This window comes from Homo sapiens, chromosome 19, assembly GCF_000001405.40.
Source record: "Homo sapiens chromosome 19, GRCh38.p14 Primary Assembly".
Taxonomy (NCBI): Eukaryota; Metazoa; Chordata; class Mammalia; order Primates; family Hominidae; genus Homo; species Homo sapiens.
The window spans coordinates 41,405,082-41,425,106 of NC_000019.10; the positions used below are offsets into that span (position 1 = coordinate 41,405,082).

The following is a 20,025-nucleotide window of genomic DNA, read 5'->3' on the forward strand; positions in this document are numbered from 1 at the left end:
AAATGTTCAGTATCTGTTTAACAAGAACAATCATGAGAAATACTTACTCACTACTTGTGTTTATGAAACATTATGTGCCAGGCACTGGGCTGAGCAATCCACACAGGTCAACTCGGTTAATCCTCATGACAACCCCTGAGATAAGTACTTATACCACCCTCGGTGTACACAGGAGGAAACTGAGGCTCAGGGAGTTTTTCTTTAAAAATTTTTTCTTTTTTTTTTCCTTGAGACAGGTCTTACTTTGTCACCCAGGCTGGAGTGCAGTGGTGTGATCTTGGCTCACTGCAGCCTCTTGGGCTCCAGCGATCCTCCCACCTCAGCCCCTCAAGTAGTTGGGGAGTACAGGTGTGCACCACCATGCCCAGCTAATTTTTTGTAGGGATGGGGTCTTGCCATGTTATCCAGGCTGGTCTTGAACTCCTGGGCTCAAGCGATCCTCCCTCCTTGGCCTCCCAAAGTGCTGGTATTACAAGTGTGAACCACCACACCTGGCCTTAAATTTTATTTATATATTTATTTTTGTAGAGACGAGGTCTCACTATGTTTCCCAGGCTGGCCTCGAACTCCTGGACTCAAGTGATCCTCTTGCCTCAGCCTCCAGAGTAGCTAGAATTACAGGCGTCTGCCACTGCACTTGGCTCAGGGAGTTTAAGTCACATAATCAGGCAGCGGTCTGCTCAGTTAGAGTCCATGCGCTTAGCCATGGTGCCTTCAAGTGACTCCACCAGGGTCACCCCAGTACTTCCTGGGCAGACCAGACCATCCAGAGCGGGCAGGTTGTGCTTTCCTGCATGGTGGGAGAGGACGTGGCATGAAGCTTTGTGTAAATCTGTGCAGCCTCTGCCATTGTAAATCACTGGCCACCGGGACAGACTCCCCCACCCCCTTCCAAAAACTAGAGGAACAGATGGGTGGAGTCGCATCCTTCCTCTGCAGGCATTTGGCCACCCACTCCCATTATGGAGCATTTCCTCAGGACCAGGCACAGCGTGGAGCCCTTTGCATAGCTCACTGAATTGGGGCAGCAACCCTGGGGCTGGGGACTACCATTATCTCCACCAGCCCAGCAAAGAGGGGAGGAGGGTACAGCCGAGACCCAGCTGCAGTATGTGGAGCACACTGGGGTGCCGTGAAGATAGCTGTCCAGCCTCTAGAGGCTGACAGTCCTGCCCTGACACAGTGGTTTGTTCTCAGACTCTGGCCTCCCCTCTTAGTGCCCGTCTGAAGACTTCAGCCTTCGGTCCTCTTCCATCAGCATGCCGTCTCCCCTGTGCCTCAGTCTCCCTCTCTGGAGTATCTGCTGGGGCCACAGTTTGGTTTTATTGTTCTTTGAGACAGGGTATCACTTTGTTGCCCAGGCTGGAGTGCAATGGTGCAGTCATGGCTCACTGCAGCCTTGACCTCCTGGGCTCAAGCCATCCTCTCACCTCAGCCTCCCGCAACTCCAGTATCTGGACTACATGTAAATGCCACCATTCCCAGCTAATTTTTTTTTTTTTTTTTAGATAGAGTCTCACTCTTGTCACCCAGGCTGGAGTGCAATGGTGCCATCTTGGCTCACTGCAACATCCGCCTCCCAGGTTCAAGCCATTCTCCTGCCTCAGCCTCCCAAGTAGCTGGGATTACAGGCACCTACCATCATGCACGGCTGTTTTTTGTATTTTTAGTAGAGACAGGGTTTCACTATGTTGGCCAGGCTGGTCTTGAACTCCTGACCTCAGGTGATCTGCCTGCCTCGGACTCCCAAAGTGCTGGGATTACAGGCGTGAGCCACCACGCCCAGCCTTCCTGGCTAATTTAAAAATTTTTCAGAGACGAGGGTTTTGCCTAGGCTGGACTCACTATGTTGCCTAGGCTGATCTCGAACCACTGGCCTTAAGTGATCCTCCCACCTCAGCCTCCCAAAGTACTGGGATTACAGGCATGAGCCGCTGCACATCGCCACAGTTTGATTTTAGTATCCACTTTAAGGTGCAGTTAGTTCTTCCCAGCTCCTCTTTTCCCTATCTCATACAGTGTAGTCACTTCCCTTTCTCCCACTTCTCACCTTCCTAGATTTTGTTTTTCTCTCTCTTACCAAGTTTTGAGTATGTAATACGTCCCAGATCGGTGCTGAACCCCTGGTGTGAGTTAACTTAGCAACTTTTCACGTGGTGTTCTGCAGCCTTCTTACAGATAAGGAAATTCAGAGAGGTGAAGTGTTTTTGCAGAGAGCCACACAATGAGCTAAGAAATTAGAACCCAGGGCAGTTGAACTCCAGAGCCAGGGAACTTAACAGCCCATTCATGCATTCACTCAGGAATTCCCTCTTGAGTGCCTGCTGTGAAGGCAACCTGGACGCTGTCTCTGCCTTCCTGGGATTGTGGTGTGTGTGGGAGACAGACACGAAACAAAGCAATCTTCTAGGTCAGTGTCTGGCTATGCTGGGTACTCAGAAGGGGGAAGCACTGTGCTGCAAGAGGCCGGCTGTTTCCTCCTCACAAGGGGAGGCCTGCAGTGACATTGCCAGGCCTGAATCTGCCCTGCCATTGGGAGTGTAATTTCCTCACGACTACAAATGCAAATAAATACACACACTGAACATGCTACCCCGCTAGAACTGTGGACAGCTTGTTCACTGCAGTTAAAGGAAGACGGAGGGACACATTTGAGCACGCATGTGTGAGATCCAGCTTGTGGCAAACCCTGCCATTCTTTAACATCTGTGGGAAGTGAAGCCACCATTACTGACCTCGGAGGAATCCCGGGAGTAGTGGGAAGAAAAGTTGCAGATGTTTGAAAATCAGGCTGCAGGGGCAGTTGGGGTGAGGAGCATGGATGTCTAGGAGCCTGAATCTCAGCGTTGGAAGCCCAGTTCTGATGTAATTTTTTTTTTTTTTTTTTTTTTTGAGACAGGGTCTCACTTTGTCCCCCAGGCTGGAGTGCAGTGGCACAGTCTCAGCTCACTACAGCCTCATCCTTCCAGGTTCAAGCAGTCCTCCTGCCTCAGCCTCCCAAGTAGCTGGGACCACAGGCATGTGTCACCATGCCTTTCTAATGTTTGTATTTTTTTGTGGAGACAGGGTTTCTCACTGTTGCCCAGGCTGGTCTCAAACTCCTGAGCTCATGTGATCCTCCTGCCTTGGCCTTCCAAAGTGCTAGGATTACAGGCGTAAGCCACTGCCCAGCATCCCCACCTTTTTTTTTTTTTTTTTAAATTTGTGGTTTGGTGCAGGTTATTTTACCTCCCCAGGCCTCGGTTTCCTCATCTACTCAAGGGCAATGGCAGATAATCAACCTCACAAATTCCCCGAGGAGTTAGTAGGCTTGTGCCTGCCAGGCTCAGCTGGCTTACAGCAGGTGCTTCATAAGGGGGAGCTATTGCAACGCCTCGGCTGGTTCTAGGCTGCCTAGCTCCAGAGCTAAGAGTCCCAGTGGGTTCATATCCCTTTGAGCATTTATAGGCTTCTCACAGGTCTCCTGGGCTTTCTCAGCCATTCCTCATCTGACCTGAGGAGGTGTGATGTCCTTGCAGGACTCCTCCAGCCCCTCTGAGCTTTTTTTTTTGTTTGAGACAGCATGTTGCTCTGTTGCCCAGGCTGGAGTGCAGTGGTGTGATCATGGCTTACTGCAGCCTCCACCTCCTGGGGTCAAGCGATTCTCCCACCTCAGCCTTCCAAGTAGCTGGGACTATAGGTGTATGTTACCATGCTTGAGTAATTTTTAAAATTTTTTGTAGAGATGTGATCTCAGGCTGGTCTTGAACTCCTGGGCTCACCTGGGCTCAAGTAATCCTTGAGCCCAAAGTGTTGGGATTACAGATATGAGCCACCTTGCCAGGCCCTGAGCTCCTTCTGTCTTCCATGAAGGACACACTATTCCTTGCCTTTTGTCTTTTTTTGTGTGTGTGGCAGGGTCTCTGTTGCCCAGGCTGGGATGTGTTGGTGCAATCTGGGCTTATTGCAACCTCCGCTTCCCGGATTCAAGTGATTCTCCTGCCTCAGCCTCTTGAGTAGCTGGGATTACAGGTGTGCGCAACCACGCCCAGCTAATTTTTGTATTTTTGGTAGACATGGGGTTTCACCATGTTGGCCAGGCTGGTCTCAGCCTCCCGAAGTGTTGGGATTACAGGCATAAGCCACTGTGCCTGGCCACTTTTTGTCTTTTGCATGTTCTATACACCTTGCCGAGAATGTGCTTTCCCTGCCTCCTGGTTATCCCTCAGGTTTCAGCTCTAACATCACTTCCCCAGGGAAGCCTTACCCTCGCTTTCTTCTGCTATAGGATAATATGAACCACCATCATTGTTACTTGTTTAGTGTCTGCCCTCCCTGCTAGGCAGCAAGGACAGATATCTTGCCTGTCTTAGGTCCCCAGAACCCAGCACAGGGCTTGGAACATGTCAGGTGCTCAAATATTTGTTGAATGAGTCAGTCTGGGCTCGCAGAGGGAGCTGGGACCAGAGTAGAGTGGACACTGAAGCGTATGTAGCAGTTTGCCAGGCGATAGGGAAAGAGACCTTCTTGTAAAGCAAGCAGAGATGAGAGGGAGAAATGAGAATTGCTAAGATTGTTTTGAGCATTTGTTAGGTGGCTTACAGATGCTTTGCTGAACATTTTATTCATGTGATCTTGTTTAAGCCTCTCATTTCCATGAGGGGTTCTCCATTTTTATAGACAAGGAAGGGGACACGTGGAGAGGGGAAGTTACTTTGCCATATCACCCTCTAAGGGATTTTTTTTTTTTTTTTTTTTTTTGAGATGGAGTCTCACTGTCACCAGGCTAGAGTGCTATGGCGCAATCTCGGCTCACTGCAACCCCCACCTCCCGGGTTCAAGTGATTCTCTTGCCTCAGCCTCCTGAGTAGCTGGGACTACAGGCATGTGCCACCACATCCGGCTAATTTTTCTATTTTTAGTGGGTACAGGGTTTCGCCATGTTGGCCACATTGATCTCGAACTCCTGACCTCAAGTGAGATTCGCCTGCCTCTGCCTCCTAAAGGCAGTAAGGGAATTGAACCTAGGCAGTCTGACTCTTAAGAGCTCAAAGACTTAAGCTCTGTCCTGAGTAGCTTCGCTGGTGTATGGTATAGGGATCAGAAGAGAGCTGGTCTGTATGCCTAGAGGGCATCCTGCAGTGGGCATGTGTGTCTGTGGTCACAGTGGGAGAGAGAGAGGAGGGGGCATCTGTGGCCAGAATGGGGAGGCCTCGAATGCCAGGATGAAGAGTTTGGGCCTATGGTAATGAGAATAGTAATAGCTACCAGTTATTGACTTGCCAGCCACTTGATTGAGTCATTTAACCTCACAACAGTCCTATGGGATAGGTGTTAACTGTTTTCATCCCAGTTTTTCAGATGGGGAAACTGAGACACAGAAGTTGTAGTCAGTTATCCAAAGTGTCGCAGTGAGAAAGTGCTGGAGTTGGGGCTCAGACCCTGTGAGTCAGGCCCCAGAGTTCACTGGGGCCACATGCTCAACCACCATGCCGCCTGCCTGCCGCCGGGGCTGAGCCAGCGGAAACCTGGGTGCTGCTTCTGATGCAGGTGGTCTCCTCTGCTCTCTTCCCCAGCACCCCCCCAGGCAGCAGCAGCAGTTTTCATCTCTGGATGACAAGCCCCAGTTCCCAGGGGCCTCGGCGGAGTTTATAGATAAGTTGGAATTCATCCAGCCCAACGTCATCTCTGGAATCCCCATCTACCGCGTCATGGACCGGCAAGGCCAGATCATCAACCCCAGCGAGGACCCCCACGTGAGAGGCGGCCTCCCCCACTTCCCGTGCCCCCCACGCCCAGGCCCCTTGCCTGTCTCCTCTCTGGTCCCAACTGCCCCACGTCTATCTGTGCCTCCACCCGCAGCTGCCGAAGGAGAAGGTGCTGAAGCTCTACAAGAGCATGACACTGCTTAACACCATGGACCGCATCCTCTATGAGTCTCAGCGGCAGGTGCGTGGGGACAGGACTAGGGGCGGGGGGCTGGAATTACCTGAGGTCCCCTACCTGTGTTTGGGCCAAAGGAATGGCTCCCAAGGAGGACAGATTCTTTTTTGGGGGGGTTCCATAGAGTTCTGAGGGTTCTCTTGGGACTCTGGAGGAGAAGTGTGAGAGCAGTCCTGCCTTAGGGCAGAAGGATGGACCTGATCACTAAAAAACACCTACTGTGTGCCTGGCTGGGGGCTCGCCTGTGTGGGGAGAGGGCAGGGAGAAGGCCTGACAGCCCTTCCTCTTGGAAATGCACAGTCCTGAGAAACAGGGTGGGTCCCCAGTGCTTCCTGGAGTGCTCCAGGGGACCGCCCTAGGCCCATGTGAAATGGGCTGTGATCCCCTGATAAATCCTAGTATCAGGGACAAGGATCCAGTCAAGCCAGTGTCAACAAAGAGGGAAGTTATTGACTCCAATGACCATACATCCAGAGGGTCCTGTTTTGGGGCACAGCTAGATCCAGGGGGTCTTCCAGGCAGGAAGTAGAGGGAAGGCGGAAGGCCAGACATGGCACATCCCAGCTATCCCACACCCCCACCTTTATAGAGCTTTCTGGGTAGTCCCACCTAGTGACATCTGCATACATTTCCTGGGCCACTCCTAGCTGCAGGGGAGACTGAGAAATGTATTAATAATACTTTAGTCCCGGCAGTTGCTGCCTGCGGGAGATTGAGACCTCTGTTAACAGAGGAGGGGAATAGTATACTGGGAAGGCAACCAGGAGCCTCTGCCAGTAGCCCCGAGTCCTGATCCTCAGGGGGCTGGTTGCAGGCTCTTACCCACGCTAACCTGGACAGTCCTGCCAGGCCCTCAGTACTCAGCACCGCCCACTCACTTGGCACTGGAATGTGCATTAACTTTTAATTGGCTCCCCACTTAGAAGAAAGCACACATTCATCAGTTTCCCCCACAGCAACGGGAAAGCCAGGCCTGGGAACACATGGAGGAGGGCACCGCCGAGCCGCGAGGAGCTCTGGCCCCGGGGTGTCCCTCAGGGTGCTGGCCAGGCTGCCTTTGTTCCGCTTTACACATGGCCCTGTGTGATCTCATGTCCATCCGTATGCCAGGGCTGCCCAGAGCCCCAGCCAGACTGCTTGTCAGAGCCCTGCTTGGCTTCTCGCCCTGGATGTCCCACAGCAAACTAATCCTGTCTGAACTTGACCTCGACATCTTCCTCCCAGGCGTGCTCCTTTGCCTCACCTAGTCCGTTTCTCAGTGAAGAGCACCACCATCCACCTGCTTGCCCACACCAGAAACCTCATCTCATCCCTGTCTCCTCCCTCCCCCTTGCTATCCCTTTCTCCCCTCTCATTCCCTCTGTCTGTAGATATTTCTTTTTTTTTTTTTTTTTTACTTTTGAGATGGAGTTTTGCTCTTGTTGCCCAGGCTGGAGTGCAATGGCACGATCTTGGCTCACCGCCTCCCTGGTTCAAGCGATTCTCCTGCCTCAGCCTCCCGAGTAGCTGGGATTACAGGCATGCGCCACCACACCTGGCTAATTTTGTATTTTTAGTAGAGATGGGGTTTCTCCATGTTGGTCAGTCTGGTCTCGAACTCCCTACCTCAGGTGATCTGCCTGCCTTGGCCTCCCAAAATGGTAGGATTATAGGTGTGAGCCACTGCACCCAGCTGTAGCTACTTCTTTTCTTTTATGTTATTTTTATTTATTTATTTAGAGACGGAGTCCACCTCTGTCGCCCAGGCTGGAGTGCAGTGGCGCAATCTCGGCTCACTGCAACCTCCGCCTCCCAGGTTCAAGTGATTCTCCTGCCTTAGCCCCCCAAGTAGCTGGGATTACAGGCGCCCACCACCACACTCGGCTAATTTTTGTATTTTTAGTAGAGATGGGGTTTCACCACATTGGCCAGGCTAGTCTGGAACTCCTGACCTCAAGTGATCCGCCTGCCTTGGCCTCCCAAAGTACCGGGATTACAGGTGTGAGCCACCGTGCCTAGCCTGTCTGTAGATACATCTTTAGGAAGTGCTCAGCTGCTCAGCAGCACACTCTGAGACCCAGCCCCATCCTTTCTCTGCTTCACTGTTGTTGGTGAGTTGACCTTCGTGCTCTGCTTGTGGCCTCGTGTTCACAGCATGGCTGCTGCATGTCCAAGCTTCATGGCTGTCTGCAAGGCAGGAAGAAGTAGGGAGTGGGTAGGGCTGGCACCAGCAGCAGTGGTCTCTTCTATCCAGAAAGCAAAAGCAGACTTCCACCAAAATATCTGGCTAAAACTGTGTCCCATGGCCACCTCTGGCTGCAAGGGAGGCCAGGGACCTGAGTGCGTGTCTTTTTGAGGCTCAGGTTAGGGGATTTGGGAGAAGGGAACTGGGCACTGGTGTGGCCAGCTGACAGGGTCTGCTGCCCCCTAGCACAGCCGACTCAGCTTCCTCAGACACATCCACCTGCTCCTCTCCCGCCTCCCTCTGCTACCAAGCTGGGCCTCTGCCCCCTCTCTCCTGGCTTGCTGCAATCAGCCTTGATGACTCCATCCATTTACCTCACTGCAGCCTGAGAGCAATTCTAAAACACAGGTCTGACCACATTGCTCCCTTGAGAAGACTGTCGGCAGGTTACCACTATTCTCAGAGTAAAATCAATGTATCGTTCCCTTTGTTATCTGGGTGCCATCTCCTCTCCCTCCTCATCTTTCCCCACCCCTACCACTGTATGTCCCAGCCCTTCTGGCCTCATGGTCTATCATTCCCTCTGCCTGGAACCCTCCACCCACCCCATCTTTGCGCACTGGTCCTCACCGATGCCCTTCCGTGGTGGAACAGGTGCTTCCTTTGGGCTTCTATCACAGCAACTCGATCCCTCTGGCAGTTCTAAGCAGTCTGGCAGCGTCTTCTTAAAGGCAGGAACCCCAGCATGGCCTGGCCCAGGACTGGCCTTCAGGAGGACTGTGAATTCATGGAGGTGTTGGAAGCTGGGCAGGATTTGGATGGCTCTCTGTCATTGCCCAGCATAACCAATTGTGGGACCCCGGTCCCCTCTACACCCCCAGGGCCGGATCTCCTTCTACATGACCAACTATGGTGAGGAGGGCACGCACGTGGGGAGTGCCGCCGCCCTGGACAACACGGACCTGGTGTTTGGCCAGTACCGGGAGGCAGGTACGTCTGTCCGTGGTTTGGCCCTGTGGTCCCCATTGAAGTGTACACTTTAGTTTTTCTGAGTGTTCTTCCAGGAGCAGCATAGTGCCAGGAAGGTCTAAGGAGCTGGAAGAAGAGCTTTCCAAGCAAGAAAGAGACAAGCCAGGGTTAGGACTCTGGAGGGGGCAGTCTTCCCACTCTGAAGGCCAGAAAGTGTAGTGGCTCAGGGTCTGTGCTCTTAACCCTTTGTTACCAGTTGTCAGGTTTTGGGCAAGTCACTTCCCTTCTCTGAGCCTCAGTTTTCTAATCTCCAGAAGAGGGATTATGACGGTACCTGCATCCAAGGGTCGCTGGGAGGATGCAGTGAAGTCAACGTTCGCTGTGGGTGTGGCCTGTGCAGGAGACCCTGTCTGCCTGGTGCAGTGATCCCCTGGCCCCTCCTCAGGTGCTGTATCCTTCGGGGAGCAGGAGCAGGTGGAAGAACCTTGACAGACCTGAGTGCGGTGCAAGATTAGAGGGGCCCGGCAAGCCCAGATGAGTGAAAGGAAGGAAGGGTCAAAGACCAGGAATGAAGAAAATCATTGAGCAGGAATGAGTGCCTGGGAGCGAAGGAGTGAGCCCAGGGAGCAGTGAGTGGGGTCTTCCAGGGAGCTTGTTGGTGTGGGGCCCTGCATGGGGACTACCCTCAGAGTGTCAGCGAGCACTGATAGGGCCAGGAAGGCATATCTTAACCCTTTGTCTTAGATGCTTGGGGCAAGTTGCTTAACTGCCCTGTGCCTCTGTTTCCTCATTCGTAAGGGGGATGGTAGCCCTTCCCAAGACAGCTGTTGAGGGCAGTCTTGGGGCAGTTGGCAAAGTGCCCTCAGCACAGAGTAAGCGCTCAGGGCCAGGGGTTGGTGTCATGATCGGGGACTCGCCCTGGGACAGCCCTTCAGCAGGGCCAGACCACGTGGCTGTCCAGAGCCCCCATGGACCAGCATGGCTTGCAGCCTGCTCCTGGACTGTCTACTGCTCACAGCTGGACCAGGCCCTTGGCCCCACATGCTCTAGGAGGGCAAACGCCCTGTGGTGTTTGTCTAAGGTCTAGTGTCATCCGTGCGGAAAAAGATTTCCAGACACCAGGCAGCAAGCTGGGCCCCCGCCAGCTGTGCTGAGCACTGCACCTGTTTTTGCTGAAGGGTTCTCTTGTGAGGGCACCAGGCAGGACCGAGCAAGCCTCATGGGAATCATGGGAGCCGCTGAGCTCTCCACATGGGAGAGCTGGCCGCCTCTGCAAGAATGACTGTCCAGCACTGAGGGTCAGCAGAAGTGTCTGGGCAGCTGCAAATGGGACTCATGCAGAGGCAGCATGGTGCAGGGTAAGGAGTTGAGTCACATCCACTCTAGACTTCACTTGGCAGGCCACTCACCTTGGTGACGCTGTCTGTCGTCTGTGAAGTGAGAAGAGTGGTGTTCATCATGATAGGTAGTGCCTCCCTGGGCTCTTGACACCAGAGTGCTGTTCTTTTTTTCTTCTCCTTTTTTTTTTTTGAGATGGAATCTCGCTCTGTTGCCCAGGCTGGAGTGCAGTGGCGCGATCTCGGCTCACTGCAAGCTCCACCTCCTGGGTTCACGCCATTCTCCTGCTTCAGCCTCCCGAGTAGCTGGGACTACAGGCGCCCACCACCATGCCTGGCTAATTTTTTGTATTTTTAGTAGAGGCGGGTTTCACCATGTTAGCCAGGATGGTCTTGATCTCCTGACCTTGCGATCCGCCCTCCTCCACCTCCTAAAGTGCTGGGATTACAGGCGTGAGCCACCATGCCTGGCCTTTTTTTTTTTTTTTGAGGTGGAGTCTCACTCTGTCGCCCAGGCTGGAGTACGGTGGCGCAGTCTTGGCTCATTGCAACTTCTGCCTTCCAGGTTCAGGTGATTCTCCTGCCTCAGACTCCGGAGTAGCTGGAATTAAAGGCATGCACCACCATGCCTGGCTAATTTTTGTATTTTTAGTAGAGATGGGGTTTCACCACGTTGGTCAGGCTGGTTTCAAACTCCTGACCTCAAGTGATTCGTTTGCCTTGGCCTCCCAAAGTGCTGGGGATTACAGGCATGAGCCACCGCGCCGGGCCAGCCAAGGTGCTGTTATATGTGCTCTTTAGCCTCGGAGACTGTCATTTCCCCTCACTGCACTGCAGAGCGAGGGCACACCGGGTGAGGTTAGGGCAGGCCCCAGTGGTGTTGCCTCATTGAGGCACCTCCCCCATCCATGTGAGGCAGGAGAGGCAAGCATTACCATCAACTCTAAAAGCCAGGTAAGAACCTGAGTCAACAAAGGTGAGGTCATGGGCCCAGGCCACATTCTCCTAAGGAGTGGAGCCGAGTCTTTTTATGGCAGTCTGACCCAGAGACAGCTCTCGCTGTTTCCCACCCTTGGCTGTCTTCCCAGGGCTATATGTGGAGTATCAGTGGTGGCACTGGCAGGGAGTGGCGCCCGGTGAAAAGGAGTGTTAAGAGGAAGCACGTGCCAGGTGTGGTGGCTCACGCCTGTAATCCCAGCACTTCGGGAGGCTGAGGCGGGAGGATTGCTTGAGCCCAGGAGTTTGATACCAGCCTGGGCAACATGGCGAGACCCCCATCTCTAAAAAATTAAAAAATTAGCCAGGCGTGGTGGTGCACACCTGTAGTCCCAGCTACTCAGGAAGCTGAGTGGGAGGATTGCTTGAGCCCAGAGGTTCAAGACTGCAGTGAGCTATGATTCCACCACCGAACTCCAGTTTGGGTGACAGAGTAAGATCCTGTCTCTGAGACCAACAAGAAAAGAGGTAGCATGTGTCAAGCAAGAGCAGCAGTTCCCACTGGACCTGGAGTTTCCTGGTGCAAATCAGCCTGTGAGTCTGTATTTTCTTTTTTCTTCAAGACGGGGTCTTACTCTGTCACCCAGGTTGAAGTGCAGTGGCATGATCTCGGCTCACTGCAACCTCTGCCTCTTAGGATCAAGTGATCCTCCCACCTCAGCCCCCTGAATAGCTGGGACCACAGGTGCACGCCACCACACCTGGCTAATTTTTTTTTTGATTTTTGGTAGAGACGGGGTTTCGCTGTGTTGCCCAGGCTGGTCTCAAACTCCTGAGCTCAAGCAGTCCACCTGCCTCACCCTTCCAAAGTGCTGGGATTACAGGCACGAGCCACTGAGCCTGACAAGTTTGTACTTTTAGCACGTTCCCCTGCCCCTGCCCAGTCCTTCTCACATGGGTGGACCTAGTACCACATTCTGAGAAAGCCTGATTCCAAGGTCCTGTATCAGTCCCTTGGACCTTCTTTGACCCTCTACAAGACCTTTCTTTCCCTCCTTAACCAGAGCAACTCCTGTTTCTATCTGTTACATATGCAGCACAGCCACATCTTGTGTGGATTTGTATTATGTCCATTCAAAAGCATGTGTCAGAAAATACCAGTAAACCTGTATTAAAGTTGGATGTTGAAGTAGTGCTAACCACCCTCAACTCTAACTAAAATATCAACAAGTGGGCTGGGCGTGGTGGCTCACACCTGTAATTGCAGCACTTTGGGAGGCTGAGGTGGGTGGATCACCTGAGGTCGGGAGTTTGAGACCAGCCTGACCAACATGGAGAAACCCCGTCTCTCCTGAAAATGCAAAAATTAGCTGGATGTGGTGGCACATGCCTGTAATCCCAGCTACTCAGGAGGCTGAGGCAGGAGAATCGCTTGAACCCAGGAGGCAGAGGTTGCAGTGAGCCAAGATTGCGCCATTGCATTCTGGGCAACAAGAGCAAAACTCCGTCTCAAAAAAAAAAAAAGAAAGAAAATTAGGTAGATCTAGTGGTGCACACCTGGAATCCCAGCTATCTGGGAGGCTGAGGCATAAGAATTGCTTGAACCTGGAAGGTGGAGGTTGCAGTGAGCTCAGATTGCGCCACTGCACTCCAGCCTGGGTGGCCAAGCCAGACTCTGTCTCAAAAAAAAAAAAAAAAAAAAAAAAAGGTAACTGCTGTGTGTAATGTGATCTCCATTAAATTTGTATCTAAAGAGCGGGTTCTGCGGTAAAGAAAGGATTTGGAAAGCACTGTACTAGAGAGCTCCCTCTGAATAATGTTCCCGGTCTGAGTGCTTGCAGCATTGATCCACAGCGCTGCCCCTAAAGTGTTGGTGTGAAGGTTGTCCCACTCTTCAGGCGGGGCAAAGAGCTTGTCTGAGGGCAATCACAAACCCCCTTCTGTCTTCTAACTTCGGAGGAAGGGCCCCCTTAACCTGGAGCGGTTCCCTTTGATGGGGAGGTGGGTGTTCACCAGAGGTTTTGTTTGAAGAAAAGGTTTTACTGCCATACATGGGTTAGAGTACTTCTGTAGTCCAGAAGTTGTAAATTAGTGGTCTATGCTGTTATTTGGTTCATAATGATGATTTTTTTTTTTTTTCGAGACAGGGTCTTGCTTTGTAGCCCAGATTGGAGTGCAGTGGCACGATCTCAGCTGCCTGCAGCCTTGAACTTCTGGGCTGAAGCAATCCTCTGCCTCAGCCTCCCAAGTAGCTGGAACCACAGGCACACATCACCATGCCTGGCTAATGTTTTGATTTTTTTTTTTTTTTGTAGAAGCGAGGCCTCACCATGTTGCTCAGGCTGGTCTCCAACTCCTGGGCTCAAGCGATCCTCCAACGTCAGCCTCTCAAAGTGCTGGGATTACAGGCATGAACCACCATGCCTGGCCATAGTAATGATTTATGGTTAGAATATTTCTTAAAGGTAATTGAATTAGTTGAAAGCACTTAAATACCAGACAATATCTCACTAAGAGAAAGAAAGAAAAAGGCTAGATTTCTGCTTTCTTTTGAAAAATCAGATTGGCCTTGCTGGGCAGAGTCAGTCAGTCTGAACATCAGTCTTCCTCTTAAAACAAGCCTGAGCTTTCCTGTCTGCCTGCCAGCATGCTGCAGGTCACCCACAGGGCTGAACTGTCCCCCTGTACTGCCCACTCGGCTAACCATTGCCTCCTCCCCTCCTAGGTGTGCTGATGTATCGGGACTACCCCCTGGAACTATTCATGGCCCAGTGCTATGGCAACATCAGTGACTTGGGCAAGGGGCGCCAGATGCCTGTCCACTACGGCTGCAAGGAACGCCACTTCGTCACTATCTCCTCTCCACTGGCCACGCAGATCCCTCAGGGTGAGGATGCATGCCCTGTACCTTGCACATGTGCAGACCAATGTCACACCCCTGTCCAGGCCTCAGCTCTTTTGCCTGCCTTCTGGGTGGAATTCTGGGTTGGTGACACCACTAGAGCCCTGGTCTGTGCTCCAGACTTCTTCTTCTTATTTTTTTCTTTTTTGAGACGGAGTCTTGCACTGTTGCCCAGGCTAGAGTGCAGTGGTGCTATCGCAGCTCACTGCAGCCTCCTTCTCCCAGCTTCAAGCAATTCTCCTGCCTCAGCCTCCCGATTAGCTGAGACTACAGGTGTGCACCACCACGCCCAGCTAATTTTTGTATTTTTAATAGAGACAGGGTTTCACCGTGTTGGCCAGGCTGGTCTCAAACTCCCGGCCTCAGGTGATCCACCCGCCTCAGCCTCTCAAAGTGCTGGGATTACAGGCGTTTAAGCCATTGTGCCCAGCCCACTTTTTTTTTTTTTTTTTTTTTTTTTTTTTTTTTGGTCTGAGACGGGGTTTCACTCTCGTCAGCCAGGTTGGAGTGCAATGGTGCAATCTCGGCTCACTGTAACCTCCACCTCCCAGGCTCAAGTGATTCTCCTGCCTTAGCCTCCTGAGTAGCTGGGATTATGGGCATATGCCATTGTGCTTGGCTAAATTTTTGTATTTTTTGTAGAGATAAGGTTTCACCATTTTGGCCAGGCTGGTCTTGAACCTGAGTTCAAGTGATCTGCCCACCTTGGCCTCTCAAAGTGCTGGGATTACAGATGTGAGCCACTGCACCTGGCCTGTGTTCCAGACTTTGAATGCACCTCTTGTCTGGGACCCTTCAGAAGAGGGCTCTGTTGCTGTCCCCACCCCATTCAGGGGCCTGAAGCCTGTGTGACCACACTCTGGATTTCCCAACCACATGCCTACTGCATTTGTCTGCTCACAAACATAGCCAACGTGTGCACCAGGTTCCACTGTGCCAATGCTTCACGTTCATCATCTAATAAGGACCCTCATTGTGGCCATGGGGACAGAGGTTATTATTTGCTCTTGTTCCTGTTTTCAAGAGCAGGATGCCCGTGTTTTGTGTGTGTGTGAGAGACAGCAAGTGAATGGGAAAAAAAAAAGTGCAGGAGCCTGGCCAACATGGCAAAGCCCTGTCCCTACTAAACATACAAAAATTAGCTTGGCATGGTGGTGCACACCTGTAATCCTAGCTACTCAGGAGGCTGAAGCAGGAGGATTGCTTGAACCTGGGAGGCAGAGTTTGCAGTGAGCTGAGATCGTGCCATTGCACTCTAGCCAAAGTGAGATCCTGTCTCAAAAAAAAAAAAAAGGAAATTGAAGTCAAAGAGGGAAGTCACTCGCTAACGGTCATGTGGCACAGAGGGAGAGGAGCAGGGACTCAAGTCATTGACTGTGTACCTCCAGAGCCTGGGTTCTTGGCCCTGACCTTTGTCTGCCTCAGTCCTCAGAGTCAAGTAAGCTTCCCCAAAGCTTACCGTAGGTGCCCTGAAGTCCCTTCCCTTATAAGAGCTTTTTTGGGAAGCAAACCCACTGGGTGCCAGGCCTGCACCCTCATAGTGTGGAGAACAAGGAATCGGAGCCCCTTCCTGTCCTCCGGGGCCTGTAGCCTGATCTAGGGTTGGTCTGGGCCCTGGCTTCTTTGCCCTAGGGCAGCTGAGATGCATGAGTTTGTGTCTCTCCAGGCCTCAGCACTGTGCCCAGCACAGCAGGAGGCTCCACACCCCTTAGCTCATAGTGTTCTTTTGTTGAGGAACAAGAAGCAGTTTGAGCCTCTTAGGTGGGAGGTGGGCAGGGAAGCTTTCTCAGAGGAGGGGGCATTTAGGGGGCATTTGAGCTAAAGGTAATAGGGTTTCCACAAGGCTGGGGCGTGGCCCTAACCTTCCCTCTGGGTCCCTGCTAAGTCACTTCAAATACACGAAGTTCCTGCCATGTGCCGGTGCCACTCCAAGTGCAGGGAACAAAAGCAACGCAAACCTCAGCCCTCCTGGTGCTGCCATTGTGGTGGGGGAGACGGACAGTAACAGAGATGGAGAGGGAACTCCTGGAGTATATGAGGGTGGGGGTCCTGTAGGGAGCAGCCAAGCCAGCCGGGTGTGGTGCACTGTAGGGGTGGCTGGGGTCCGTCACTGGAGTGACACTGAAGTATGGACCAGAGGATGTGAGGGGGGAGCTGTGTGGTGTCTTGAGGCAGGTGTGAGCCTGGCGTGTTTGAGGAGCTGGGAGGAGCCCAGAGGGGCAGGTGTGGAGTGAGCAGGTGTGGAGTGAGCGGGTGTAGGGTGAGCAGGTGTGGGGTGGTTGGAGGTAAAGTCCAGGAGGTGGTGGGTGGGGGTGCAGATGGTGCAGGTTGGGTGGGGCCTCAAGGCCTTTGCCTGTTGCAGGGATGTCGACTTTTACTCAAAGTGGGACAGGAGCCGTGGGTGGGGAGGAGTCTGCTCTTCCTTGGCCTGGCTCACCTCTTCATGGAATCCGCGGGCTGCCCTGTGGATAAGGGATTGGGCAGTGTGTGAAGGGCTAGTAAGGAGGCTGCTCAGTAACTTGGGCTTGACCAGGGTGGTGCAGAGGAGGAGGTAAGAGGGGTTAGGTTCTGAAGGTGGAGTAGATGTGGAGAATGGCGGGAAGTTTGGCTTGGAGATGATACTGGACTCTTCAGCCTGAGCAGTTGGAAGGGTGGAGTTGCTTTCAGCTGAGCAAGAGGAGACCTGGGTGGGCAGATGCTGGGGGGCATCAGGAGCTGAGGTGTTTCCTTTCCCCTTGAAGCCTGGTGACTGCTGGCCTGAGCCACGCTTGAGCCGTGGGTCATGTGAGTGTGAATGAGTGTGAGTGCATGTGAGTCTCCGCCCCTGCTCACCACCCTCTCATCCCCTGCAGCGGTGGGGGCGGCGTACGCAGCCAAGCGGGCCAATGCCAACAGGGTCGTCATCTGTTACTTCGGCGAGGGGGCAGCCAGTGAGGGGGACGCCCATGCCGGCTTCAACTTCGCTGCCACACTTGAGTGCCCCATCATCTTCTTCTGCCGGAACAATGGCTACGCCATCTCCACGCCCACCTCTGAGCAGTATCGCGGCGATGGCATTGGTATGGGCTCTGCTGGCTGCTCCCCACCCCGCTGGGATCATCTCCTTCCCTCCCCAATCCTGCCACCTTCCTGCCACCCCTACCCTCCTTCCTGGTTCTCGTCCTGTGTCCTGTGGCGTCTGGCACTTGGTCAGCCACAGGAGTTGAGGTCCTGAGCACTCAGCCTTGCTCTCTGTCCTCTCCCTGCTCGTCCCCTTGGCCTCGTGCATGTTCCTTATCTCAGCCCTGGCCTGACCTGCCTTCTCTGTGTCCCCACAGCAGCACGAGGCCCCGGGTATGGCATCATGTCAATCCGCGTGGATGGTAATGATGTGTTTGCCGTATACAACGCCACAAAGGAGGCCCGACGGCGGGCTGTGGCAGAGAACCAGCCCTTCCTCATCGAGGCCATGACCTACAGGTGCCTGCCGCTCCCCCCGTCAGCACCCCCACAGCACTGACAGCCACCGTAGCATCTTCCTCATATCGATCACTGTCTCCAAAACATGGCCTTATCACCTGATGTTGCATCTCCCCCTTGCCTTTATTCCGTTTCCACTCCTCCTTCCCTAGTTCATCCCCCATCCTCCCTCCTGACCCCCACTCCAGGGAGCCCACACTGACCTGGGGCCCCTTGCCCCTGTGCAGGATCGGGCACCACAGCACCAGTGACGACAGTTCAGCGTACCGCTCGGTGGATGAGGTCAATTACTGGGATAAACAGGACCACCCCATCTCCCGGCTGCGGCACTATCTGCTGAGCCAAGGCTGGTGGGATGAGGAGCAGGAGAAGGCCTGGAGGAAGCAGTCCCGCAGGAAGGTGAGGGTGCCCCGCCCGGGAGGGTGTGCTGGGGGCTGCTGCGGCCTGCAGAGCTTGGGAAGGATTTGTGGAACACCGAACTGGGAGGCTCAGGGATAACCCCAGTGATGTCTCAGATGTGGCCTGTGGAGCCAGGCTGCTGGGGCCATGTGTGTCCTGGCTCTGTGTCCTTGGCATGTTGCCCTCCACTTCCTTGTCTTTGAAAGGGGATGCTGGTGGTGCCCATTTCAGAAACTGGTTTGAGACTGGGCATGGTGGCTCACACCTGTAATCCCAGCACTTTGGGAGGCCGAGGTGGCAGATCACTTGAGGTCAGGAGCTTGAGAACAGCCTGGCCAAACATGGTCAAGCCCTGTCTCTACTAAAAATACAAAAATTAGGGCTGGGCGCAGTGGCTCACGCCTGTAATCCCAGCACTTTGGGAGGCCAAGGCGGACAGATCACCTGAGGTCGGGAGTTTGAGACCAGCCTGGCCAACATGGTGAAACCTCGTCTCTAATAAAAATACAAAAATTAGCCGGGCATGGTGCCGGGTGCCTGTAATCCCAGCTACTTGGGAGGCCGAGGCAGGAGAATTGCTTGAACCTGGGAGGTAGAGGTTGCAGTGAGCTGAGATCGTACCATTGCACTCCAGCCTGGGCAACGAGAGCAAGACTCCATCTCAAAAAAAAAAATTAGCCAGGCGTGGTGGTGCGTGCCTGTAGTCCCAGCTACTCAGGAAGGTGAGGCAGAAGAATCGCTTGAACCCGGGAGGTGGAACTTGCAGTGATTGGAGATGGCGCCACTGCACTCCAGCCTGGGCAACAGAGCAAGACTATCTCTTAAAAAAAAAAAAAAGCTGGTTTGAGGATTAGGTGGCAAACCGTGGTGGAGTGTACATGCCCTGCCCAGAGTCAGTGTGCCACCCTCCCTGGCCCGGTCATTAGGACCCAGGGCCCGTGCAGCCCAGTGGTGAGGGCAGCACCCGGCATAGGGCAGCACCGTGTGTCCTGTCCCTGCCCTTCTCTGTGCCTCAGTTTCCTCATTGCTTAGCTGTCTACCTCTTAGGGCTGCTGAAAGCCTTAAATGATTCCACACACTTGGATAGCACCTGATCCCTGCTGGGATTTGAGGGTTTTCATTACACTTCTGCTAGGATAATCATTTCCATTGTCGAGGTGGGAACACAAAGGCTTGGAGTGGTTAATTCCTTGCCAAGGCCCCGCAGGAGGAAGCAGGGTCCTGCATGGGAGGCCGGCTAGCCTGCCCACTGCCCCATGTCCCCACAGGTGATGGAGGCCTTTGAGCAGGCCGAGCGGAAGCCCAAACCCAACCCCAACCTACTCTTCTCAGACGTGTATCAGGAGATGCCCGCCCAGCTCCGCAAGCAGCAGGAGTCTCTGGCCCGCCACCTGCAGACCTACGGGGAGCACTACCCACTGGATCACTTCGATAAGTGAGACCTGCTCAGCCCACCCCCACCCATCCTCAGCTACCCCGAGAGGTAGCCCCACTCTAAGGGGAGCAGGGGGACCTGACAGCACACCACTGTCTTCCCCAGTCAGCTCCCTCTAAAATACTCAGCGGCCAGGGCGGCTGCCACTCTTCACCCCTGCTCCTCCCGGCTGTTACATTGTCAGGGGACAGCATCTGCAGCAGTTGCTGAGGCTCCGTCAGCCCCCTCTTCACCTGTTGTTACAGTGCCTTCTCCCAGGGGCTGGGTGAGGGCACATTCAGGACTAGAAGCCCCTCTGGGCATGGGGTGGACATGGCAGGTCAGCCTGTGGAACTTGCGCAGGTGCGAGTGGCCAGCAGAGGTCACGAATAAACTGCATCTCTGCGCCTGGCTCTCTACCACCTCTGGTCTTTGTTTCCTGGAGTTTGGGGGTGATTTGAGGCCACCCCCAGCTTCTCCACCTTAGATAAATAAGGTCAAGGCTCTTGAGATACCTACTTCC

General features: G+C 53.5%; 1 protein-coding gene across 2 annotated transcripts in view, besides 3 other annotated features; it reads left to right on the forward strand.

The window, feature by feature from the left end:
• The window catches only part of BCKDHA (branched chain keto acid dehydrogenase E1 subunit alpha), a 27,185-nt gene extending 7,264 nt beyond the window's left edge, over nucleotides 1–19,921 (forward strand). The window contains exons 2-9 of one of the 2 annotated variants that reach the window (NM_000709.4): nucleotides 5,556–5,735; nucleotides 5,842–5,928; nucleotides 8,968–9,076; nucleotides 14,054–14,215; nucleotides 17,083–17,289; nucleotides 17,548–17,689; nucleotides 17,917–18,088; nucleotides 19,357–19,921. In NM_000709.4, the coding sequence (NP_000700.1) occupies nucleotides 5,556–5,735; nucleotides 5,842–5,928; nucleotides 8,968–9,076; nucleotides 14,054–14,215; nucleotides 17,083–17,289; nucleotides 17,548–17,689; nucleotides 17,917–18,088; nucleotides 19,357–19,527 (1,230 nt within the window). In that variant the 3' untranslated portion in view covers nucleotides 19,528–19,921. The remainder of the gene's footprint in view (nucleotides 1–5,555; nucleotides 5,736–5,841; nucleotides 5,929–8,967; nucleotides 9,077–14,053; nucleotides 14,216–17,082; nucleotides 17,290–17,547; nucleotides 17,690–17,916; nucleotides 18,089–19,356) is intronic. The other variant, NM_001164783.2, reaches the window with a different exon arrangement.
• Nucleotides 1,490–2,444: an enhancer, noted in NCBI's record as "NANOG-H3K27ac-H3K4me1 hESC enhancer chr19:41912476-41913430 (GRCh37/hg19 assembly coordinates)". NCBI's record gives its function as "activates a minimal SCP1, AML or CMV promoter by ChIP-STARR-seq in primed H9 embryonic stem cells {active_cell/tissue: H9 hESC(primed)}" and the evidence as "EXISTENCE:reporter gene assay evidence [ECO:0000049][PMID:30033119]".
• Nucleotides 2,445–3,400: an enhancer, noted in NCBI's record as "NANOG-H3K27ac hESC enhancer chr19:41913431-41914386 (GRCh37/hg19 assembly coordinates)". NCBI's record gives its function as "activates a minimal SCP1, AML or CMV promoter by ChIP-STARR-seq in naive H9 embryonic stem cells {active_cell/tissue: H9 hESC(naive)}" and the evidence as "EXISTENCE:reporter gene assay evidence [ECO:0000049][PMID:30033119]".
• Nucleotides 4,710–4,759: an enhancer, noted in NCBI's record as "active region_14681". NCBI's record gives its function as "activates an Ori minimal core promoter by ATAC-STARR-seq in GM12878 lymphoblastoid cells {active_cell/tissue: GM12878}" and the evidence as "EXISTENCE:reporter gene assay evidence [ECO:0000049][PMID:35858748]".